Source organism: Homo sapiens, chromosome 10 (genome assembly GCF_000001405.40).
Source record: "Homo sapiens chromosome 10, GRCh38.p14 Primary Assembly".
Lineage (NCBI taxonomy): Eukaryota > Metazoa > Chordata > Mammalia > Primates > Hominidae > Homo > Homo sapiens.
This window is the reverse complement of record NC_000010.11, coordinates 80,730,257-80,752,292: the sequence shown is the minus strand read 5'-3', so window position 1 is coordinate 80,752,292 and position 22,036 is coordinate 80,730,257. Positions and strand designations below refer to the sequence as shown.

Below are 22,036 nucleotides of genomic sequence, written 5' to 3'. Positions count from 1 at the left end.
GAAATTCCTCGGTGGAAGTCCAAAAACAGAAAACCAACCTAATCAGATGCTAAGAAGGCTCTGAGCCCATAACCTTGTTGATTATAGGTCAAAACTAGAAGTGGCTGAGGGTTCCACCACAGGGATAATGGAGATCCCATCCACCCACCTCCAGCAGTGACTAAGGGAAAGAGCCATCTGCCACACAAAACAGGATGTGGACTGGATCCCTCAGATGAAAGAAGGCTGAAAACAAATTGTAACCATGCCTGGGTCTGCAACTTGAAGCATCAACAACAGCACTTCTGGGAGGGAGAAGAGAATGCTGTTTATGAAGGACCAACTCCTGTGTGTACAATAACTGTGATATCAACATGGCATAGGAGTCCTGCACGTGGAGTTCCATTTGGCCATAAAACTGCTGGGCAGGGAGAAGTGAGCGTAGACAGTGAGAAAACAAAAACCCTACTCAGTATGAGCCCAGAGGAAATGCAAACTCCAAAGGGTGGCCAAGAAGATTAATAATAAGGGGATGAGTTCACTACCAACACAATGCAAAACAATCTCACAAATGCGGTAAAATAAGCATATTTTAAGATCTTGGAAGAGTTCATGCAGGAATGACATTCGTCTTTTATTTATTTATTTATTTTATGTATTGAGATGGAGTCTTGCTTTGTCACTCAGGCTGGAGTGCAGTGGTGCCATCTTGGCTCACTGCAACCTCTACTTCCTGGATTCATGCAATTCTCCTGCCTCAGCCTCCCGAGTATTACAGGCATGCGCCACCTCGCCCAGCTAATTTTTGTATTTTTAGTAGAGAAGGGGTTTCACCATGTTGGCCAGGCTGGTCTCAAACTCCTGACCTCAAATGATCCACGCACCTCAGCCTCCCAAAGTGCTGGGATTACGGCGTGAGCCACCGCGCCTGGCGACATTCGTCTTTTAAAAGAACAAAAAAAAAAATATGAAACAGAACAGGTCACTACCAACAAGGGACCAGTGAGAGTACCCAAGCAAAGGACCCGTCATTTCTGACTCAAAGTCCCCATAGAAAACTCACCATCTCCCCAGCCCAGAAAATGGATGAAGCTAAGTTTCTTCTAGGAATGCTGGGTTTTCCAGCTCTCATTCTGTGCAGTGCTTAGCCCTGTGCAGGATCACTCCACAGCATTCAAAAGATAACCTCCCAAAATCATGGTCAAGTTTCACCTATTTTTTTCATGGATGATAAAATTTGAAAATCTCACCCTTCTCCTTATAACACGGATATTCCAAATATGAAGAGAAATGAATATCACCGGTTTGCAATCAGGATGGTCCCTGTCATAGGTCTAGGTTCCCCTGAGGCCAACTCTGAGCTACAGATCATAAGCAAGTGATGTGTTAAGGAAGTACTCCTAGACCAGTAAGGAGTGGGGAGCAGCACAGAAATAAAAGAAACCACAGGGCAAGGGTGCAATTTCAGGCAAAGTTAGTCAGTAGGATCTCATATAAATTACACCTCAGAGATTTTCCTGTGCTGAGGCAAGGGAGCTGGGCTTTCATACTCCTGAACCAGTCATTGGCATAAACTCCCAGGCACTTTCCTCTCTCTGTGCCTACTGCGAAGGCAGCTATATCATAGCCCACAGATAAGTCTTAAGATGGCCATAAGTAGTAAAAGCACCCAGAAGCCTGAGGAAGTGATGCAGGGCAGGTTCTTGGCTTCATTGGGAAAAAATTCAAGAGCGAGCTGGCAGTGGAAGAATGCATCTTTACTGAGTTTGCGGCAGTAAACTCTGTGACTGCTCCCGCAGAGCAAGTTCAGCTCATAGGCAGCATGCAGAGAGTAGCAGTGTATGGGTGGCTGGCAGTTGCATTTATGCTCATTTTAATAATATGTAAATAAAGGGGCAGGTTATTCAGAAATTGCTAGAAAATGGGTGGTAACTTCCTGGCATTGCCATGATGTTTGGAAACTGTCATGGTGCTGGTGGGAGTGTCTTAAGCTGATGGGCAGCAAGGGCAACTAGAGGTGGCCTTCAGCATCACTTACTGGTTTGGGGCTGTGATATGGTTTGGCTCTGTGGCCCCACCCTAATCTCATCTCGAGTTGTACTCCCCATATGTCAAGGAAGGGGCCTGGTGGCAGGTGACTGGATCATGGAGGCAGTCTCCCCATGCTGTTCTTGTGATAGTGAGGGACTTCACAGGAGAGCTGATGATTTAAAAGTGGCAGTTTCCTCTGCGAGCTTTCTTTCTCTCTCTCTCCTGCCACCTTGTGAAGAAAGTACCTGCTTCCCCTTCACCTTCTACCATGATTGTAAGTTTCGTGAGGCCACCCAAGCCATGCAGAACTGAGTCAATTAAATCTCCTTTCTTTATAAATTACCCAGTCTCAGGTAGTATCTTCATAGTAGTGTGAAAATGGACTAATACAGGCTGTCTTCATTCTGGTCTGGAGAACAAGTCCTGCCAACCTCCTACCTCAGTGGGATCATGGAAAAGGTAATGGGCATCTCAGAGCTCAAACATTGCCTTCTACAGATACCTTTTCTTGCTGCCAGTAACTAGGGAGGTTTGTGATGATTGTAAGTTTCCAGAAGGTAAACAGGGCCAAGAAATAGAAGGAAAATACAATTCAGGATATATGTTTCGTTCATGTGTGCAGTGAGTGAAGATTATGCTGTGGCCAGAAAGACCTGAATATAGATAAGAACTTCAGATAGGAACACATTGCTTAAGTCTAGCTGAACTATAGAACTTAAATTTGGTTCAAATTACTTCTGAAACTATGGCCTTCCCAAGCAATCTCATATATTTCTGAGTTATTTGAAAATAATGCAATATTAGTTTTGTAGGCAATTGATAGTTTTAAAAATCATGAAGATACATAATTCTTTATTAATTTTGTAGACATGTTTCCAAAAACATTCTTATAATTAAGAAAATCTGACAAAAGAACTTCAGCAGATGTGTTTCATTTGCTTGGCAAATTATTATAATTTTTAGTTAAGTAACAGATAAACCAGGGATTTACATAAAATAATTTAACTTCTAGTAAGATTGTTACCTATAGATAAAATTAGTGCCACAGCAGTTGAAAATGGAATAACTTAGAATAAGTAGATTTATGAATTGATGTTTTGATAGTTCTGACCTGGGTGGTCCAAGCACACTTTTTAAAATTAAAGAGAATCCAAAATAAGCCCATGTTATCAAAATGTGGAGTTGCCTTGGTAGCCGTGTACAACAGCTTGTATTATCTCTTCCAAGGTGTTGGCATAATTAATATAATCTTATACTGTAGTGCCCATACCCTACCTACAGCTGATGGAAGGGCAGTGACAACATGGAGTGGATGTTCCCAAGTCAGGCTGTAAACAGCAGCCTATGATGAAGGTGACTGGTCAGGGTTTTCATTTGAGGCTTCTTGTAGTCCAATTAAAAAAAAAAAAGTCTTCCATTAAAAAAAAAGAAGAAGAAGAAATGAACATTTTAAAAGTCCATTGCAATTCTGGATAATAAAAATTTGGTCATTGAAATTTTTTTAAAAATGGATGGAGACAGATACAATAAACTCCAGATTGCAGACAGTTCAATTGAACTAGTGAATTAAACTTGGCATTGGTGGATTAGAAGCTCTCTGAAGACTTTACCCAGAGAAAATAAGATTAAAAAGTCTGAAGAAGTAAGAGATATGGAGACTAGATCAAAAGATTCCAACATATGTCTAACAAGTACCCCCAAAGTTAAAAGTAGAGGGAATTAAGGAGAAGCAATACACAAATAAATAATGGCCAAGAATTTTCTAGCATTAAAAAAGACAGGAGGTTTTTTTGTTTTGGTTTGGTTTTTTGTTTTTTTTCTGAGTGGAAAGCCAAACAAGAGGGACCGAAATAAATCCTCAACTAGATAAGCTGTGGCGGTGATGATGCAAAAATCAAGAAAACAAAGCGTAAAAGATATAAGGAAAGGTAAGGAAATTGCTCAAAGATTCTAATAAGCTCTAACAGATGCCAGGAGACAATGGGTTGAAATCTCCCAGTGTTAAGGGGACATAATTGTCACTTGGAATTCATATTTACAAAATCCTCTCACCAGTTATGGCAAAATAAGTATATTTTCAGACTTACAAAATTTATCACTCACATACCCTCACTGAAAATTACTAAATAATATATTTCAACAACAAAAAGATGTGAACACAGGAGGCAACACTGACTAAACAAAGAGCTCAAATATTCACTGTAAACATACTAAAATTAAGATTTTCATACTAAAAATATAGACCTGTTGGGAATAATGTTCAAAATCCTAAGGAAACTGAACACTCAAACAAAGGATTCTTAGCAAAGCAATTTTACTTCTGTGCAGAGGGGTGCTTCTCCTTGGCCAGTCACCATGAGAGCACACCCAAACAAAGGGGCATGAGAGCCTTTATTGCTGATGCAAGTCCGGCCCCGTACCCTTTCCCCATTGGCCAGGGTCAGGCCATACAATCTAAACTAATCCTGGTTGGCTAAACATTTTAACTTTTTTTAGATAAGGTGGGCACATAAGGGAGAGAGGGGAAAGGGGAAGGAGTGTGTGCAATGAGCTAGAGAGCTAGTCTTCTTTCCAAATAAGGAAAGGAAGGTGAGCTGGTACTGATAACGCCTGGTGCTGTGGCATGTCTTGGCATGTAACAAAGGCAGAAAGAAAAAAAGAGAGAAAGCAAAAAGGGATGGGGGGTGTACTATGAATTAAAGAATAAAGGATTGATCAGGCTACTTGAAGAGAAATCTCATCATATCCCACAGCTTTCCTCTTCTTTTTATAACTCTTTCTCTTCAAATCTTTTTAGCATAATTTGGCTCCACTGTTCTACTTGGTCTTCTAGAGGGAAAAGCTCATTTGAATAAGGGGGAGGAGGATCCTAAGAAGTGTTAGTGAGAGCTGTTTCAATAAGTCTTTGTATTAGTCCTCAGGCACAGGGTATAATACAGCATCCTACAAGAATAAGCAACCCTATTCTGATGGCCAGAGAGATGAGGATTGAGGACATAAGTCCCTTCCATCTACCAAACCAATTTCTCATTAAATTTGTGAAGGGATCGTTTAGTCCAGAATTTTTGGCTAGCTCATTTGATAAGGCAGTAAGAGCTTGTAATGCTTTAGTTATGGTCCTGCTGAGAGCAGTATTATTAGGGATATAAGTACAGCATTGGGTCCCGATCATGACACAAACTGCACACTCCTTTGCTAGTATCATGTCTGATGCTATCCTATTTCCCCAGGCCATTTGACTAGTGGGTCCTAATTGTTCAGCTATCCCTTTAATAGCATCTCTAGTATAATTAATAAATCATTGTTGATTGTAATAAATGTAATTTATCCAACTCACATTTTTATTTACAGTTAACCACCAGAAGAACATAGATTCAAATCCAGCAGTTATTTGATTTCAGGCCTTAAATTCAACTGCCACCCCTCTTGGGACCCCAATGGCATCTATATAAACAGGAGAATTGAAGGACTTATCAGGGGCCTCTCTTGTTTGACACTGTTTGGTTCCTATGCTTTCTGGTTGATTAAATGCCAGGGTGAAAGGGATGGCCAATTGAATTAGAGCACAAATTCCACTCCAGTTACTTGGCAGAGTGTCCAGTATTGGTCCACCAAAATACCACCACACATCTGCTCAAGGACGGCTAAGGGCAGACATGCGTAAGCTCTTGGAAGGGCTTAAGCTCACTGCATCCTGTTAAGGCTCCCAGGAACCCCAAGTTTTCTCCCCATCATGAGAGACACAAAGTAAAACTGGCATTGGGAGATGGACACTGAATGGCCCTCGGGGGCTGACCCGCAGGGTGTCGAACTTCAGGGTACAGCAGAGAAGGAGCTTGGCATGATTTGTTGCCCCAGGCTGAGGAGTTTTGGAAGAGAGCTACCATACAGCTCATGCCTGGTTGGCTGGAAGACCATCCAAGTGGAAAGGGGACAATCTGGGCCTCTGGTCTACTATGCGCACAAGCGTAACATTCACTTTTGTTTAAAGTGCGGATGGAATATTTAATCCATTCCAGCCAAGCATTTGCATCTTGATATCCTGTCTCTAGAGCTATTGTTTGCCTTAAGTTTTCTACTTCCACAACCGGTTGGGTCATTTTGGAGATGGGAGGAGGACGTTGGACTCGCTATACTTGGGGACAGCGTTGGGTTCCACGTGTCTCCCAGACTCTGGGTCTGAATTCCTTTATTACTGTTAACCAGTGGTTTAACTAACCTCAGCGAGAAGATTCCTACAGGGTCCTGTCCTGCAGCATCTGCTCCTAACCCAGACCGTTCGAATATAGAGGGTTCTTGGGCCTTTGTCTGGGGATTATTTATAATCAGCAACAAGGGGTTACCGTGTAATGGCTTACAATTTGGTGGGGTGGGACCACGGACTAGTTGGAGTTTTTGTTTTAGTTCCCATAACCTATTTGAAGCAGAGGGTCTAGCTGTCCACCCTTTGTACTTAGTAGTCTACCAAACATCTGCCCAGTCACTACAGGGACCTTTTAAAGCTCCATACTTATACTTGGTTGACTCTTTGCGGTATGGACATAGATACTTATCAACATGGGATAGCTTCCTTTGAGCTTGCTTGTCTCCGTATGGGATGACTGAACAGGCATCGAACTGAAGGGTTAAAGGGTGGCTAGCCTGAGTTACGTTGATGACAAGATGACCTTCTGTTGAAAAGAAAAAAAGAAAATAAACAAGTGATTACTAAGCTCTTTTTAGAGTTAGTTTGGTGGGGGTGAGCCTTGGAGTGACAGTCCATGATTCTAGAAGTGGTGGCACCTTTTTGACTCGGGTGTGATGAGTCCATCCTCTTTCCACTGTTCGGACTGCAGTCTCAGTAGTTAGGAGCACTAGGTAGGGTCCTTCCCAAGCTAGTACGAGTTTCCCTTCCTTCCACCCTTTGATGAGGACGTGGTCTCCAGGCTGATGCTGATGTGCTGAAAACTCCAGGGGCAGCGCCTGTGCTAGGAGACCTTCAGTCTTAAGGGAAGAGAAAGTAGAGGATAGACCAAGTATATAATTTTTGAGGAACTGTTCGTTTCAAATGTAGGGATGTCAGCAGTGGAGTGTAAGTAGGGCAATCTATAAAGCACTTCATAAAGGGAAAGGCCAATATGTCTCTGAGGGGCAGTCTGGATTCTTAACAAAGCAAAAGGAAGACATTCAGTCCATGGCGATCGAGTTTCTAAAACTAACTTAGTTAAGTGTTTTTTTAGAGTCTGATTCATCCACTCTAATCTTCCTGAGGAGGATGGATGCCAAGGGGTATGATAGTCCCAATTTATATCTAGTACCTGGGCTAACTTAATGACATGTGCAGTGAAATGGGTTCCATTATCTGAATCAATATTTTCTACTAGTCCAAATCTGGGTATGATGTTTTCAATTAATGCTTTAACTACATTATTGGCGGTTGCACTTGAGAATGGGATAGCCTCTACCTAGTGGGTAAAGTGATCTATTATTACTAATAAGTATTTTAAACGACCAATTGGGGGCATTTCAGTATAATCAATCTGAACATTCTGAAATGGTCTTAGCCCTGGATTCCTTCCTCCAAGGGGCGATTTCCTTAGAATCTGCTTATTAGTCTTTTTACATATTAAGAAACTATCTATAACTTGTTTGGCCTGGGTGTAAATTCCTATACACCCACAAACCCAGAGAACTGCATCGCACATTTCTTGGGGTCCTCAATGGGTCCTCTGGTGTAATTGAGACAAGACCTCCCTCATGAGAGGTTTTGACAACATCTCCCTTTGATCTGGTAATATCCATTTCCCTTCTGTGTTCTCTTTAGTTCCTATTCTTATTTACTTCTCTTTTTCTTTTTTCTTTTTTATTTATTTATTTATTTTTTTTGAGACGGAGTCTCGCTGTCGCCCAGGCTGGAGTGCAGTGGCCTGATCTTGGCTCACTGCAAGCTCCACCTCCCGGGTACACGCCATTATCCTGCCTCAGCCTCCCAAGTAGCTGAGACTACAGGTGCCCGCCACCTCACCCGGCTAATTTTTTGTATTTTTAGTAGAGACGGGGTTTCACTGTGTTAGCCAGGAAGGTCTCGATCTCCTGACCTCGTGATCCGCCCGCCTCAGCCTTCCAAAGTGCTGGGATTACAGGCATGAGCCACCGCGCCCAGCCTACTTCTCTTTTTCAATGGAAGAGAAAATGGGGGTTGCAGTAGGAGAAGGCAGGCATGGAGTTATATGAAAAACAGGCATTTTGGAAGAAACAGCAACTTGCTTTGCTATCTGATCTGTGAGATTATTTTCCCGACTTGTGAAAGACAAGTCCCTTTGATGCCCTGGAACATGTACAATAGCTATCTCTTCCGGCAATTGGAGATTGTTGAGGACACAAGCAATTAGTTCTCTATGAACTACATCTTGGCCTTTACTATTGATAAGACCCCTCTCCATCCAAATTTTTCCAGATGTGTGTGCCACCACAAAGGCATACTTAGAGTCAGTATAGATAGTACCTTCTTGGTTTTGTAAATGTTCTAAAGCTTGGCTGAGTGCAAACAGTTCACACGTCTGGGCAGATCAATTATTAGGCAGTGTTCCCGATTCTACTTCTTCAAGCATTTCTCCATCAATCACTGAATACCCATTATGTCTTTTCCCTTCAATTACCAGGGAAGACTCATCTATGAATAAGTGCCGCCTTGTCTTGAAGGGAGTTTCTCCTAAGTCTGGTCAAACTTTTATATGTTAATCAATCAGATCTAAATATGTGTGCTCTCTTTTTAAGTTTGGATCCCCCATTAAAAAGCCTGCTGAATTAAATGAATTATCAGTAGTTAATATTAAATCATCTTTTTCCAGTAGGATAGCCTCATATTTTAAAATCCTTGAGTCAGTGATCCACCTTCCTGCTTTCTGATTTAAAATAGTTCTAACTTGGTGGGGCGTGCTTACTGTTAATTTTCCTCCAAAGGCTAACTTCCTACTTTCTTCAACTAATACTGCTGTAGCCATGATGGATTGGATACACTGGGGCCACCCACGAATGACTGGGTCTAAGACCTTTGACAAGAAGGCCACGGGCTGTCGATGGCCTCCTTGCTCTTGGGTAAGCACTCCTAGAGCTACCCCATTATTTACATTAACAAAAAGGTGAAATGGCTTTTCTAGGGAGGGAAGAGATAGAAGAGGGGCAGTTATGAGCATCTCTTTTAATTCCTCAGTTTGCTGGATTTCCTCAGAAGTCCACAAGAGACGATCAGGCTTCCATGGGGCAACTTTCTCATACAGAAGTTTACTTTTTAATGCATATGAGTCAATCCATAAATGGCAATATCCAATTAGTCCTAAAATTTTCCTGAGTTCTTGTTTAGTTTGAGGCAGGGGTAGGGAAACAATTCCCTCCACTCTTTCAGGTCCTATTCTTCTACCTGAGCTGATTAGGTGACCTAAGTATTTAACTTCAGGTTCTACATACTGAAGTTTCCCTTTTGAGTCCTGCAATCCCTCGCATTGCAAGTGATTGAGAATATGTGTAGAAAAGTCACCTACTTCCTTTATATCTTTACCAGATATAAGATCATCCATGTACTGAAGCAGGCATATTTGCCTAGGGGCTGTGAGTTTCTCTAGTACTTGGTTCTAGGATCTGACCAAAGAGGTTGGGGAAGTCTGTGAACCCTTGGGGCAAGACTGTCCATTGATATTGTTGTCTCTGCCCCAAATGGGAGTCTTCCCACTCAAAAGCAAATATATCTCGGCTATCCTCAGCCAAGGGGCATGCCCAGAAGGCGTCCTTTAAATCTATCACTGTAAATCACTGATGATTTTACAGAATTTTTCTAAGAATGGTGTAAGGGTTAGGAACAATGGGGTGAGTGGTCTGTACTATTTGATTAATAGCTCTAAGGTCTTGCAGTAATCGATATGACCCATCTGATTTCTTGACAGGCAGGATTAGGGTATTGTAAGGAGACATACAGGGTTCAAGAAGCCCATCTTTAATGAGATGTTCAATTACAGGCTTTAGCCCTAATCTGCCCTCTAAAGGAATGGGGTATTGCTTTCTCCTTACTATTTCTCCAGGAGTTTTTAGTTTGATACATATTGCAGGGATTTGGAGTTTCCCTCTATTTCCTTCCTTTGACCAGGTATCAGGATGAATATATTTCTCATCCACAGCAGTGAGTAAATGTACTGAAGTGAGGAATCCTTTAGGGCCCACTTGAAGGCCTATACCTAGCCTTAACATTAAGTCCCTTCCTAATAGATTAGTCCCAGCTTCAGGAATAAAAATTGAATATGAGTAAATCGATCTTGATATCTGACTTCTGTGCTTTCTAAAATTTTTGCCTTAAATCCTTCTCCTTTTACCACAGAGACTAAAAGTTCTTCTGAAGAGCAGGTAAGACCAGGTGGAGGGAAACAAACAGAGGAGGGTGAAGCCCCTGAATCGACTAAAAATGTGATAAATTCATGTTTAGGTCCCACCTCCAAATTTATCATGGGCTCCTGGTGGGATTCATAATAAAAGAGGCAGAGCCCCTGACTTCCCTATTGTTCTTCAAAAGTCATGAGTGTGAAAGTTTCTCTCTCTTTAGTTCAGGACATTCACTCTTGAAGTGGCCTGTTCTTCCACATTTGTAGCATCTATCTTGTCCTTCTTCCTTCTTAGTCTTAGCATTCTCTGCCCTTGCTCCCCTATACCCCTTAGGGGGTTTATTAAATGAGGACCTCAACCCTCCAGATGGAGGATTGGGTCCTCTCAAGGAGGGTTTAGGCCCCTTATAATCTCTGGCCCCTTGAAAGCCCTGCTTAGAGATATCTGGATTTGGGGCCATCTGTTGGAAGGTAGATAACATAAGTTTTGTCTTTTGTTTTTGTTTTTCCTTGTCTCTTCTTACATACACTTTTTGAGCCTCCCTGAGTAGTTCACTCAGGGGACGGTCCTCCCAATTTTCTATCTTCGGAAAATTCTTGAAATGTCTGGCCAACTTTTAGTAATGAAGTTAAGTTTTAACATTCCCTGTCCAAGGGGGTTTTCCAAATCAAGGCCTGCATATTGTCTCATCTGCTCCCTCAATCTATTTAAGAATCTAGCAGGTCCCTCATCTTTTTCCTGTTGAATATCAAATGCTTTAGAAAGATTTTGAGTTTGGGGTACTGATTCTCGAATTCCTATTATCATTTCCCTTAGGCGCTGCATGTTTTCCTGGTGATTTGCATTGTTATTGTCCCACTGAGGGTCTTGGGTGGGAAATTTATAGTGGGCAGGAGGAACATTTTGACCGGGAGGGTGTTCGCGTTCCCAAACCGCCATAGCAGCCCTCTGAATCATACTTCATTCTTCCCCTGAAAATAGGGTGCCTAAGATGGACATCAACTCGGCCCAGTGTATATCTGAGGCCCTAGAAATTGATCAATTTGATCTGCTACTCCATAAGGGTCATCCAGTAACGGCTTAAGCTCCTTTTTTAAATTCCAGACTTCTGAACTAGTCAAGGGAGCGTTTACAAAGCCAATAGCCCAGTAGCCCTCACCCCCCTTGTGGTACCTCTCTTAGAGGAAAGAAAGTTGGATCTGGCTCTTTACGTGTGGAGGGAAATGGAAAGTTTTGAATATCTTGTTTACATTGCTCTATCTCACACGGAAGCCCTTTTAAAGACGGATACTTAACAGGTTAGTGGGAGGCAGGCTCACAAGATGGTAACTGCAAAGTTGGGATTACAGGGAGGAGGAACAATATGAGTAGAGGCACCACAAGCGGAGTAGGGATCTGCAGCAGCAGCTGGGGGGATGGAACACAGCCAAGTGACACAGGTGAGGGAGTGGCCTGAAACAGCTGGGGAGTAACCCGAAACCGCAGCTGGAGGGATGGAACCCGGAGGAGCAGAATCGGGGACAACTGGAAGAGTGACGCAAGCAGGGAAGGGACCTGAAATGGAAATGGGAGCCAGATGGGGGGATTGGGGGCAACCAGAAGAGTGGACGCAAACAGGGGAGAGACCTGAAACGGAAACGGGAACTGGAGGGGTGGGATCGGGGTCCGCCAGAAGAGTGATGCAAGCAGGGCAGGGACCTGAAATGGGACCCGGAGGGGCGGGACTGGGGGCACTGAATGGAGGAAGATGATCTAGAGGGTCCCACGTGTTAGTGGGTGTGGGTTATCTAGACATGGGACCTCTTTCCCTTCCAGAGGGGTTGGCTTCTGGCTTTCTCCCTCTGGAATCTAAAGGGTAAAGGAGGACAGGTCCCTGCCGCCAGCAGAGGGTGTAATCAATTTCTTCCTGGGAGACAGGGCTCTTATCATTAACATGCTCAATTAAGAGCTGGAAAATTCGCTCCTCATTAGACCCAAATTTTGGCAAGAAAAGTGAGGGTTTAAGGTTGGGTTCTTGAACCCAAATAAAACAAAAATATTTTATCATCTGCTGTTTTCGTTTATACTTGGTTTTCTCATTATCTTTCCAATACTTTAGCATAAGCCTCAAGGGGCTATCAGAAGGAGTTTCATCACTCTTGACTCTTTAGTTTTCCTGTCTTACTTGAAACATTCCCCATCTTACGAGTTATGGGGGGCGTCAACCTCTCCTGTTAAAGGTGTCTACCCCTCTTTCCAGAGGCTGAGGCTTTAAGAGGGGGTTCAACCTCTTGTGTTAGAGGTGTCTTACCTCCCCCTTTCTAGAGGCTTAGCCCCTCCTGTTAGGGTTTCCTGCATATCCTATAGCTCACCCGCTCTGGAGGTTCCTTACACCCTTCTTTCTCTTTGTCTACTCTGACTGTTCCTGCTCCTAGTCGACAGACGGCAGCACAAAACCACAGAGAAGACTCACTCACTCCACACAACCATAATGCTTAGCCCCATTTACACACTTTCAACCTCCAAATTATCCCGACCACCAAGGAAATACTTTGTCGCCTTTGTGAAGTCTCCTATCTTATTCTGTGCACAAGAATTACCTGGTCCTTTTATTGCCGTGGTCTTGCAAGCCTCTCCTGTCCACTTTGCTGAGAACCCAGATTTATTCGTCACAACAGGTGGGACCTGATCTCCCTTCACCCTCAGGCCACTGTAACTAGACAGTGGGATGCATCCCCCCTGGGTGGAGTGAGCGAAGACCCCCTTCCCGAAGGAGAATATTTGAGTCCCACATTTGGGCACCAGAATTGTTGGGAATAACGTTCAAAATCCTAAGGAAATTGAACACTCAAATAAAGGATTCTTAGCAAAGCAATTTTACTTCTGCGCAGAGGGGTGCTTCTCTTTGGCCAGTCGCCATGAGAGCACACCTGAACAAAGGGGCTTGAGAGCCTTTATTCCTGATGCAAGTCCGGCCCCTGTACCCTTTCCCCATTGGCCAGGGTCAGGCCATACAATCTAAACTAATCATGGTTGGCTAAACATTTTAACTTTTTTTAGATAAGGTGGGCACATAAGGGAGAGAGGGGAAAGGGGGAGGGGTGTGTGCAATGAGCTAGAGAGCTAGTCTTCTTTCCAAATAATGAAAGGAATGTGAGCTGGTACTGATAACGCCTGGTACTGTGGTGTGTCTCGGCATGTAACAAAGGCAGAAAGGAAGAAAAAAAGAGAAAAAGGAAAAAGGGGCGGGGGTACTAGGAATTAAAGAATAAAGGATTGATCAGGCTATTTGAAGAGAAACCTCACCACATCCCACAGACCCAAAGTATTAGATAATAGCAACAAAAGAGGCAGAATTGAAGAACGGTGTGTAATAAAGTATGCTGAAGCCTTTTTCTGTTTTTTTTGTGTTAGGCAGAGAAGAGAGATAGTAAATTACATAAATATATAAGAAATATACAGTATATGTTAACATTTTAAGAATAACTATTACAAGAAATATAGCCAATATTAACTAACCAAACAGAAGAGAGACTACAAGGGATTTTCAAATTTTCAGTTCAGATAAAAGAAAAAAGCAGATAAAAATACATACAAGAAAGTATGGTAAGCAAAAAAACAAAATTAGATATAAAAATAAAAGTAAACAGTAATCATACAAGGTATAAATGTATTAAATTTGCCAAGAGAGAAAACATATAATTTGTTTTTCAAATATGTGTGCATACACACACACACATACATATACTGTTTATTGGAAGTACACATCCAATAATATAACACAAAAGCCCCAACCTAGTAGAAAAGATTATCCATCAACATAAACACCAGGCGAAACATGCCAATACCATTTGAGAAACACAGATCAGGCTTTGTAAAATTTCAAAACAGAGTGAGAAAATAGACACAGAAGGTGAGAGAGAACCCATAAAATATGGAAGGAGATCAAGGAAGCCTTCATGGGAGAGGCGACATTTGAGTTGAGTCTCGAGGAATGGGTAGGACTGGGCCTCTAGCAATGGACAAAAGCACCCAATGTTGAGGAACCTGGGGAACATGGGATTTATAAAATTAGAGAGGGTTTGACTGTCTTACGTGACTTGCCACAGTATTTTTCGGCAAAGGGAGACACTGAAATCTTGTGCATCAGGAAATAACATTATATTCTCAAATCCCAAAAATTCCAAGTATCAATGGGTAGATGGGAGGAGGAATGGGGAAGAATGAACAAATGTAGACTTCATGATGCTCCTGATGTCACAGTCTTCCAGGACAAGCTTTGGTGATCATCTTGCTTGCAGGTCCTCAGAAAAGTGATCTATTTTTCTAGAACTTTATTTTTCCAGAAGGACAGTTGAGAGCTTGATTCTAGTCTGGCTCTACTAATATAATGGTGAGTGTGAGCCAGCTGCCTCTCCCTACAAAATCATTGTCATGCGGTATTTCCCATACAGTTCCTCCTTGCTCTAGCTGTGGTTGTGAGTAGGGTAAAGTGGAAATGTTGACCTGAAGAGGAAAGAAAACCTTATCTTAAGCTCCTACCAAGGTCAAGAAACCATGCAAACCCATTTGCCTCTGTATTGCTGGGGAACTTGCCAAAACTGTTCTCTGCATCACTGATCACTGTTTTTCAGTGTCATTTCTGTTCTTTATGGTCTACAACCGAACTTTAATTTGGCTTTGTGTTTTTATTTTTGTTGATGGAAACAGTAAAACTCTGTAAAATATTTGAAGAGATTTATTCTGAGCCAAATATGAGTGACCATGGCCCATGACACAGCCCTCAAGTGGTCCTGAGAACATGTGCCCAAGGTGGTCAGGGTACAGCTTCGTTTTACACATTTTAGGGAGGCATGAGACATCAATCAAATACATTTAAGAAAAACAACGGTGTGGTCCAGAAAGGCAGAACAACTCAAAGCAGGAAGCAGGGGACAGGGCTTCCAGACTATAGGTAAATTTAAACATTTTCTGGTTGCCAACTGGTTGAGTTTGTCTAAAGACCTGGGATGATAGGAAACATTCAGGTTAAGATAAAATATTGTGGAGACCAAAGTTCTTTTGAAGTCTTATGGTGGCTGCCCTAGAGAAAATAGATGACAAATGTTTCCTATTCAGATCTTTAAAAGGTGCTAGACTCTTAGTTAATCTCTTTAGGATTGAGAGGGCCTGGAAGAAAAAGAGCTAGCTATGTTAATAGAGATTCTTTACAGCTGTAAATTTTCCCCCACAAAGGAAAGCTTTGCAGAGCCATTTTAAGATATGGTAAAGAAACATGTTTTGGGGTAAAATATTTTGATTTTCTTCCTTGTCTCGTAAGGTTATGTCAGAGTCAGATTCAAAGTAAGTCACAATATATAAGGTTAAATAAAACCCATCTGATGAGAAGTTATGGTTTGTAGGGCATGATTCCCCAGACCCCTTAGATAGGAATTTGGGCAAGATTAAAAAATCAGAGCTTAGTCCTCATTTTCCTGGAAGTCTTTTTTTTCCCCGTTATCTTTTTACTATGAACTGTTTTAAATGTTTACAAAAGTAGACCTATCATTTCATCTGTAAGTATTGTTTCAGTATGTATCTGTAAAAGATGATTACTCTTTTGAAGACAAATCTGGAATTTCACAATCATACCCAAAACAATTCACAAAACTTCTTTAGCATAAACACATACAATCAGTGTTCAGATTTTTCTAAATGTCTTACTAGGTTTTTTAAAACAGTTTGTTTGAAACAAAAATCAACTTTGTGGATGTCTCTTAAATCTCTCTTAATTTGTAGATTTCCTCCATTTCTCTTTTTTCCTTGGATTTTCTGTGTGTTTTGTTTTTGTTGTTGTTGTTTGGTTTTCTTCCTTTCCTTTAAAAACCAGCCATCTGTCATGTAGAGTTTAATATACTCTAGATTTTGCTGTTTGCATCCCTATCGTATCATTAACATCTTCCTTTGTCCCCTGCATTTCCTGAAAATCGGTGTTTGTTTTGATCAGAACATACATAAATGTCTGGTTATGTCTCTTTTTTGTGATATTATCACCATTTATAAGCATTGTCTGACTCTACCTGGATTATATCTTTAGAGCCTGGAAATAGTCTAATTCTGTCATTCTTGGCTTATCAGCTGAAATTCTTCTACATAGAGAATTTCTCTCAACCCATTACTCAAAGAAAGAAATTGTATAAGAAAGGCAGAATAGACCAGGCACAGTGGCTCACGCCTATAATCGCAACACTTTCGGAGGCCGAGGCAGGCAGATCATTTCAAGTCAGGAGTTTGAGACCAGCCTGGCCAACATGGCAAAACCCTTGTCTCTACTAAAAATACAAAAATTACCCAGGTGCAGTGATGCACACCTGTAATCCCAGCTACTCGGGAGGCTGAAGCAGGAGAATCGCTTGAACCTGGGAGACAGAGGTTGCAGTGAGCTGAGTTCACACCACTGCACTCCAGCCTGGGTGACAGAGCGAGACTCCATCTAAAAAAACAGGCTAAATATTTAATATGTTCAATTGATTTCCTAGATTTTAAAATATGATTCTCTAGCATCCTCCAAAAATAATTGATGAGGTTTTTTATTATGTGTTATCATTATGAACACTTGCATTGAAACCTATTCAAAGTGTTTTAATTCATCACAATTATCATCATTCTGGAAGACAAATATGTCCCATCTTTGGCCTATGGAAGGTTCTTAGGTGGTCTCTAAGTCCCTTAACCTATCTCTAGTGGTATTTAATAGCTTCTTTGCTATCTAGTATGACAAGTCATTTTAAGCTCTTCTTGAACATTTCCTTCCTCATACTTAGAATCAGCCAATTCTCCAAGAAGACTTGGTTCTTCTTAGTGGCAAATGGCATTAGAGATCACAGATTGCATGCTGGGGATGCTCAAAGCCACTAAGCTGGCCACCACCTCTCAGTCTCTTAGTTGACTGACAGGAAAATTTTTAAGGTAAAATACAGTTCACAGTGACAATTCAAATTCAAAGTTACAGTTTTCATTTAACCTCATCCATCTCACATGTTTTCCTCCTTTCAACCATGCCAAAACCCTCAGTTCTCAATGTCAACAACATAATCACTCATTTGATTCATTTCCATGATACACACACAACAGTCTCAGAATATCAATGTCAACACTACTACCACCAACAGGCATTCTGAGTAAAATTGAAGATATTTGGCAGTTCTTCTTGTCCTTTGGGAATAACCCACAGGAGATGTCAAAACACTGTGTTTTAGTGTCACTTGGAATATTTCCTTTCTGCATGGTTATGCCAACAACTGGATGCACAGCTTGATTTCTTTCATTTTTCTGAAAGTCTTTTTTGAGTGTAATTCACTTTCTTACCATCTCATCTGTTGACTTTACATCTAATTCCTTTATCTCCTTTTCTTTGCCTACTTTTTTTTGAGACGGAGTCTTGCTCTGTCACCCAGGCTGGGGTGCAGTGGTGTGATCTCGGCTCACTGCAACCTCCACCTCCCAGATTCATGCAATTCTCCTGCCTCTGTCTCCTAAGTAGCTGGGATTACAGACGCCCGCCACCACGCCTGGCTAATTTTTTTTTTTTTTTTTTTTTTTGGATTTTTTAGTAGAGATGGGGCTTCACCATGTTGGCCAGGCTGGTTTCGAACTCCTGACCTCAAGTGATTCACCCGCCTTGGCTTCCCAAAGTGCTAGGATTATAGACATGAGCCACCATGTCCAGCCTCTTTGCCTACTCCTGACTCATGAAAGCCATGCTTTCTGAAACACACATGCTAGGTAAATGTTCTTATGTGTTCAATTAGAAATAACTTTTTGCTTCAGGATTCTTTGGAAGGCCTCATTCTGTTTCTTGATTATTTTGTTTTTCTGCTATTTCATCCTTAAACATGGCTCTTTCTAGCTAAGCCTGGTATTTGTTAATAGGGTGGATGGCTTACCTTACCAATGCAGTTATGGGATTAATCATTATAATTGATAATAATATATTCATTGAGGCCTTACTAGGTACTAAGAACCAAATACTCTGAATTGAGAACTATTTTAATCTCCCTAACAGGCCTATGACATAGACGTTGCAATCTCTATTTTAGAAATGAGAACTCCAAGATGCAAGTTTACTTCCTACTGCTCTGATGAACCAAAATGGCCTGACATCATTAAGGGTGGCGGGTATCCAAGTTATCGGCAGCGAATCTGTACGGGTCTGCAGAAACCTCAATTTTTGCCTCCTCAGAAGAAAGAATTCAACTGAGGGGCAGAAGAAGAGACTGAAGCAAGTTTTAGAGCAAGAGTGAAGTTTATTAAAAAGATTTAGAGCAGAAATGAAAAGTATACTCGGAAGAGAGTCAAGTGGACGTCTTGGAGGACTAGTGCACTGTTTGACCTTGGACTTTGGGTTTTATATGCTGGCATACTCCCAGCTTCTTGCATCCCTTTTCCCTTGATTCTTCCCTTGGGTTGAGCTGCCCGCATGCGTGGTGGCCTACTAGTGCCTGGGAGCTGAGCATGTGCAGTGTGTTTACAGGAGTTGTATGTATGCTCACCGGAGGCATTATTCCCTTTTCCAGTGGAATGTCCCTGGAAGGTCATATTCCACCATTTTGCTTTTTTTTTTTTTTTTTTGAGATAGCGTCTCACTCTGTCACCCAGGCTGGAGTGCAGTTGCATGATCTCAGCTCACTGCAACCTCTGCCTCACAGGTTCAAGCAATTCTCTGCCTCAGCCTTAGAAGTAGCTGAGATTACAGGTGTCCACCACCACACCTGGCTAATTTTTGTATTTTTAGTAGAGACGGGGTTTCACCATCTTGGCCAGGCTGGTCTTGAACTCCTGACCTTGTGATCCACCTGCCTTGGCCTCCCAAAGTGCTGGGATTACAGGCGTGAGCCACTATGCCCAGCCCACCTTGCCTCTTAATGTACATGACTGAGCCCATTGGCCCAACTCCTGAGATCTTATAAGGAAGTGCTGATCATGTTTCAGGTGTTTCCTATCTATTGGGAGACTGACTTTCCCTGGCACTGGCTGCAACCTATTATTTTAGAGAGGCAGTGTGACAACTACCTGACCATAACCTGATGGTTGCTTGACTTTCCTGGTGGGGCGTGGGGGTCCCTCTCCTGCCCTGTTAGTGTCTGACTAGCTACCCACTGTAACAACATTAAGGCAAAGGATGTAATTTCTAGTGAAGATGAGAATAAGTTAAAGATTCTCCCTTGACCAAATGCAATTTATAAAAACCTTTAAACCACTATCCACCCCCAGCATTCCCTGTTCCCAGGGTTCAGCTTTTCTCCATCATTTTTAATAACAGTCCCTAAGATCCAGTCCACAACAGCCAGTCCCTCCGTGTGGTTGTATATAAGAGTTGTGGACTCTAAATGAAACAGAAGAGATCCTGTGGAAGTGCCTGTTTCCTGGTTGGGACAGACTCTGTCTCTGACCCACGGGAAGACAGTGGGGAGAGGGTTAGTTGTTCTTCCTACCTATTCCCGAGCAACTGGCACCACTCCTTTCAGAGAGGACAGTGGACAGAACCATGCCAACAAAGCAGCTAAAAATTCTGGGGTAGTTTTGGTGTAGATTGATACTAGATTACCAAACAATGTTATAAGTCACCTGCATTGATAAGAAAAAGAGAGGTCACGGCCAGGCGCAGTGGCTCACGCCTGTAATCCCAGCACTTTGGGAGGCCAAGGTGGGCGGATCACCTGAAGTCAGGAGTTTGAGACTAGCCTGGCCAACATGGTGAAACCCTGTCTACACTAAATATACAAAAATTAGCCAGGCATGGTGGCAGGCGCCTGTAATCCCAGCTACTCAGGAGGCTGAGACAGGAGAATTGCTTGAACCTGGGAGATGGAGGTTGCAGTGAGCCGAGATCATGCTATTGCATTCCAGCCTGGGCCACAAGAGCAAAACTCCGTCTCAAAAAAAAAAAAAAAAAAAAAAAGAAAAGAAAAAAGAGAAAAAGAGAGGTCATGAGACAAGGGATCAATCTTTCATCAGAACTATAGTTAGAAAAGTTCTCCCAAATGTTCTTGTTTTCAGAAACAGAAACATAGTCAATTACATTATTTGGGGGGAAATTTCCTGACTACTGTTTTTGTATAATTTCTTTAGTATTCACACAGTAATTGGGAGAAAACTCTTTCAAGTGCTGATTGCCTGAGGCCATCTTAAAGTGGATGTCCTCTATATGTTAAATAATTTAATCTTCACAACAAACCAATGAAGCAAAGGTTAATTTCCCCAATTGTCAAGGAAACTGTGACTTAGAAAATTGGCCAAGGTCACATGGTAGAAGCTGAATTCCAAGACTCTTTCTACTACTCCGCCCACCAAGAAGCAACCTTTTGTCTAGGAGGAAAGCTGTCCATTAGGAATATATATTTTCACCCTCCAGGGAATATATTGATTCCTGATATTCAGAAGATGTCCCTGATATTAGGAGGCACATTAGATGCCTGTGGGAAGAGCCCTAAGTACTCAAAAAATGCAAATCCTAGGCCAGGCGCAGTCGCTCATCCCTGTAATCCCAGCACTTCGGGAGGCCGAGGTGGGCAAATCACAAGGTCAGGAGTTTGAGTCCAGCCTGGCCAACACAGTGAAAACCCATCTCTACTAAAAATACAAAAAATTAGCTGGGCGTAGTGGTGGGCACCTGTAATCCCAACTCCTCGGGAGGCTGAGGAAGGAGAATCGCTTGAACCCAGGAGGCAAAGGTTGCAGTAAGCCAAGATGTGCCACTGCACTCCAGCCCAGGCAACAGAGTGAGACTCCATCTCAAAAAAAAAAAGAATGCAAATCTTCATTGCCTTGTGTGGACAACAGCCCAAGGGCCAAGGTCCCCGTGGGCTGGTGGCCTGCTAGGGCTCCAGCCAAGGACTCCTGACTCTTCTACCTCTCTTTCCCCCTAGAGTTCACATTACTGCTCACCTGACTCATATCCCTAATTCCTCAGCAGAAACTTCTCATAGCTTTAACTTCTTTTTAATCAGGTCAAATAAAAATGTTTTTAATTAACTGCCTTGGTTTTTATGCCTTACATACAGCTGCTTTTTGCAATCTGGCAGGTCCCATCTGTTGGTTTTTCAGCAGGCTGCTTCTGCATTCATTGCTTCTTTCCCATCATTTTACTGAGCAACCCCTGGACACCCAGAACATTATCCTGGGTGCTGTGGCAACACAACATGTAAGGAGCTATGGTCCAGAAGTGGAGGCAACACCTCGTGAGAGCCCTCTGTAGAGTCTGATAAGGATGACAGCTGTGGTGTGTGCAAATACAGGAGAGGATGAGGACCATGCTGCAAGGAATCAAGAAATGCTCCACAGAGGAGGTGGCTTTGAGCCTTAAAGGGTAAATTGACCAAATGAAGAAGAGATTATTTTGTAAAAGGTGAAGAAAAACGAAAACCTTCTCAATGTTAACAAAAGAGAGGAAGAAATAAAATTCAATACCTGTGTAACGAATTTTAAAAATTGGAGTTAAACTTTCTCTTGGAGATTGCAAATACCCTCTACCAGGCCTGGATAACTGCATGTATACATTAGTGTTTAGTGCTAATTCCCAAAATCTGACCAGCACCGAGTTAAGACAGTCATCAGGGAAGGGAGCTTTAAGGATAGTTTGAGTGACAGAACCCACTTCATCATCAAGACATTTTGTGGGAAGGAAATTTGGCAGAGTCGACCAGGAGGTGGAGGAGAG

At 42.2% G+C, this 22,036-nt stretch overlaps 1 annotated feature.

Annotated features, from left to right (window-relative positions):
• Positions 20,295-20,796: an enhancer, noted in NCBI's record as "NANOG hESC enhancer chr10:82491253-82491754 (GRCh37/hg19 assembly coordinates)". NCBI's record gives its function as "activates a minimal SCP1, AML or CMV promoter by ChIP-STARR-seq in primed H9 embryonic stem cells {active_cell/tissue: H9 hESC(primed)}" and the evidence as "EXISTENCE:reporter gene assay evidence [ECO:0000049][PMID:30033119]".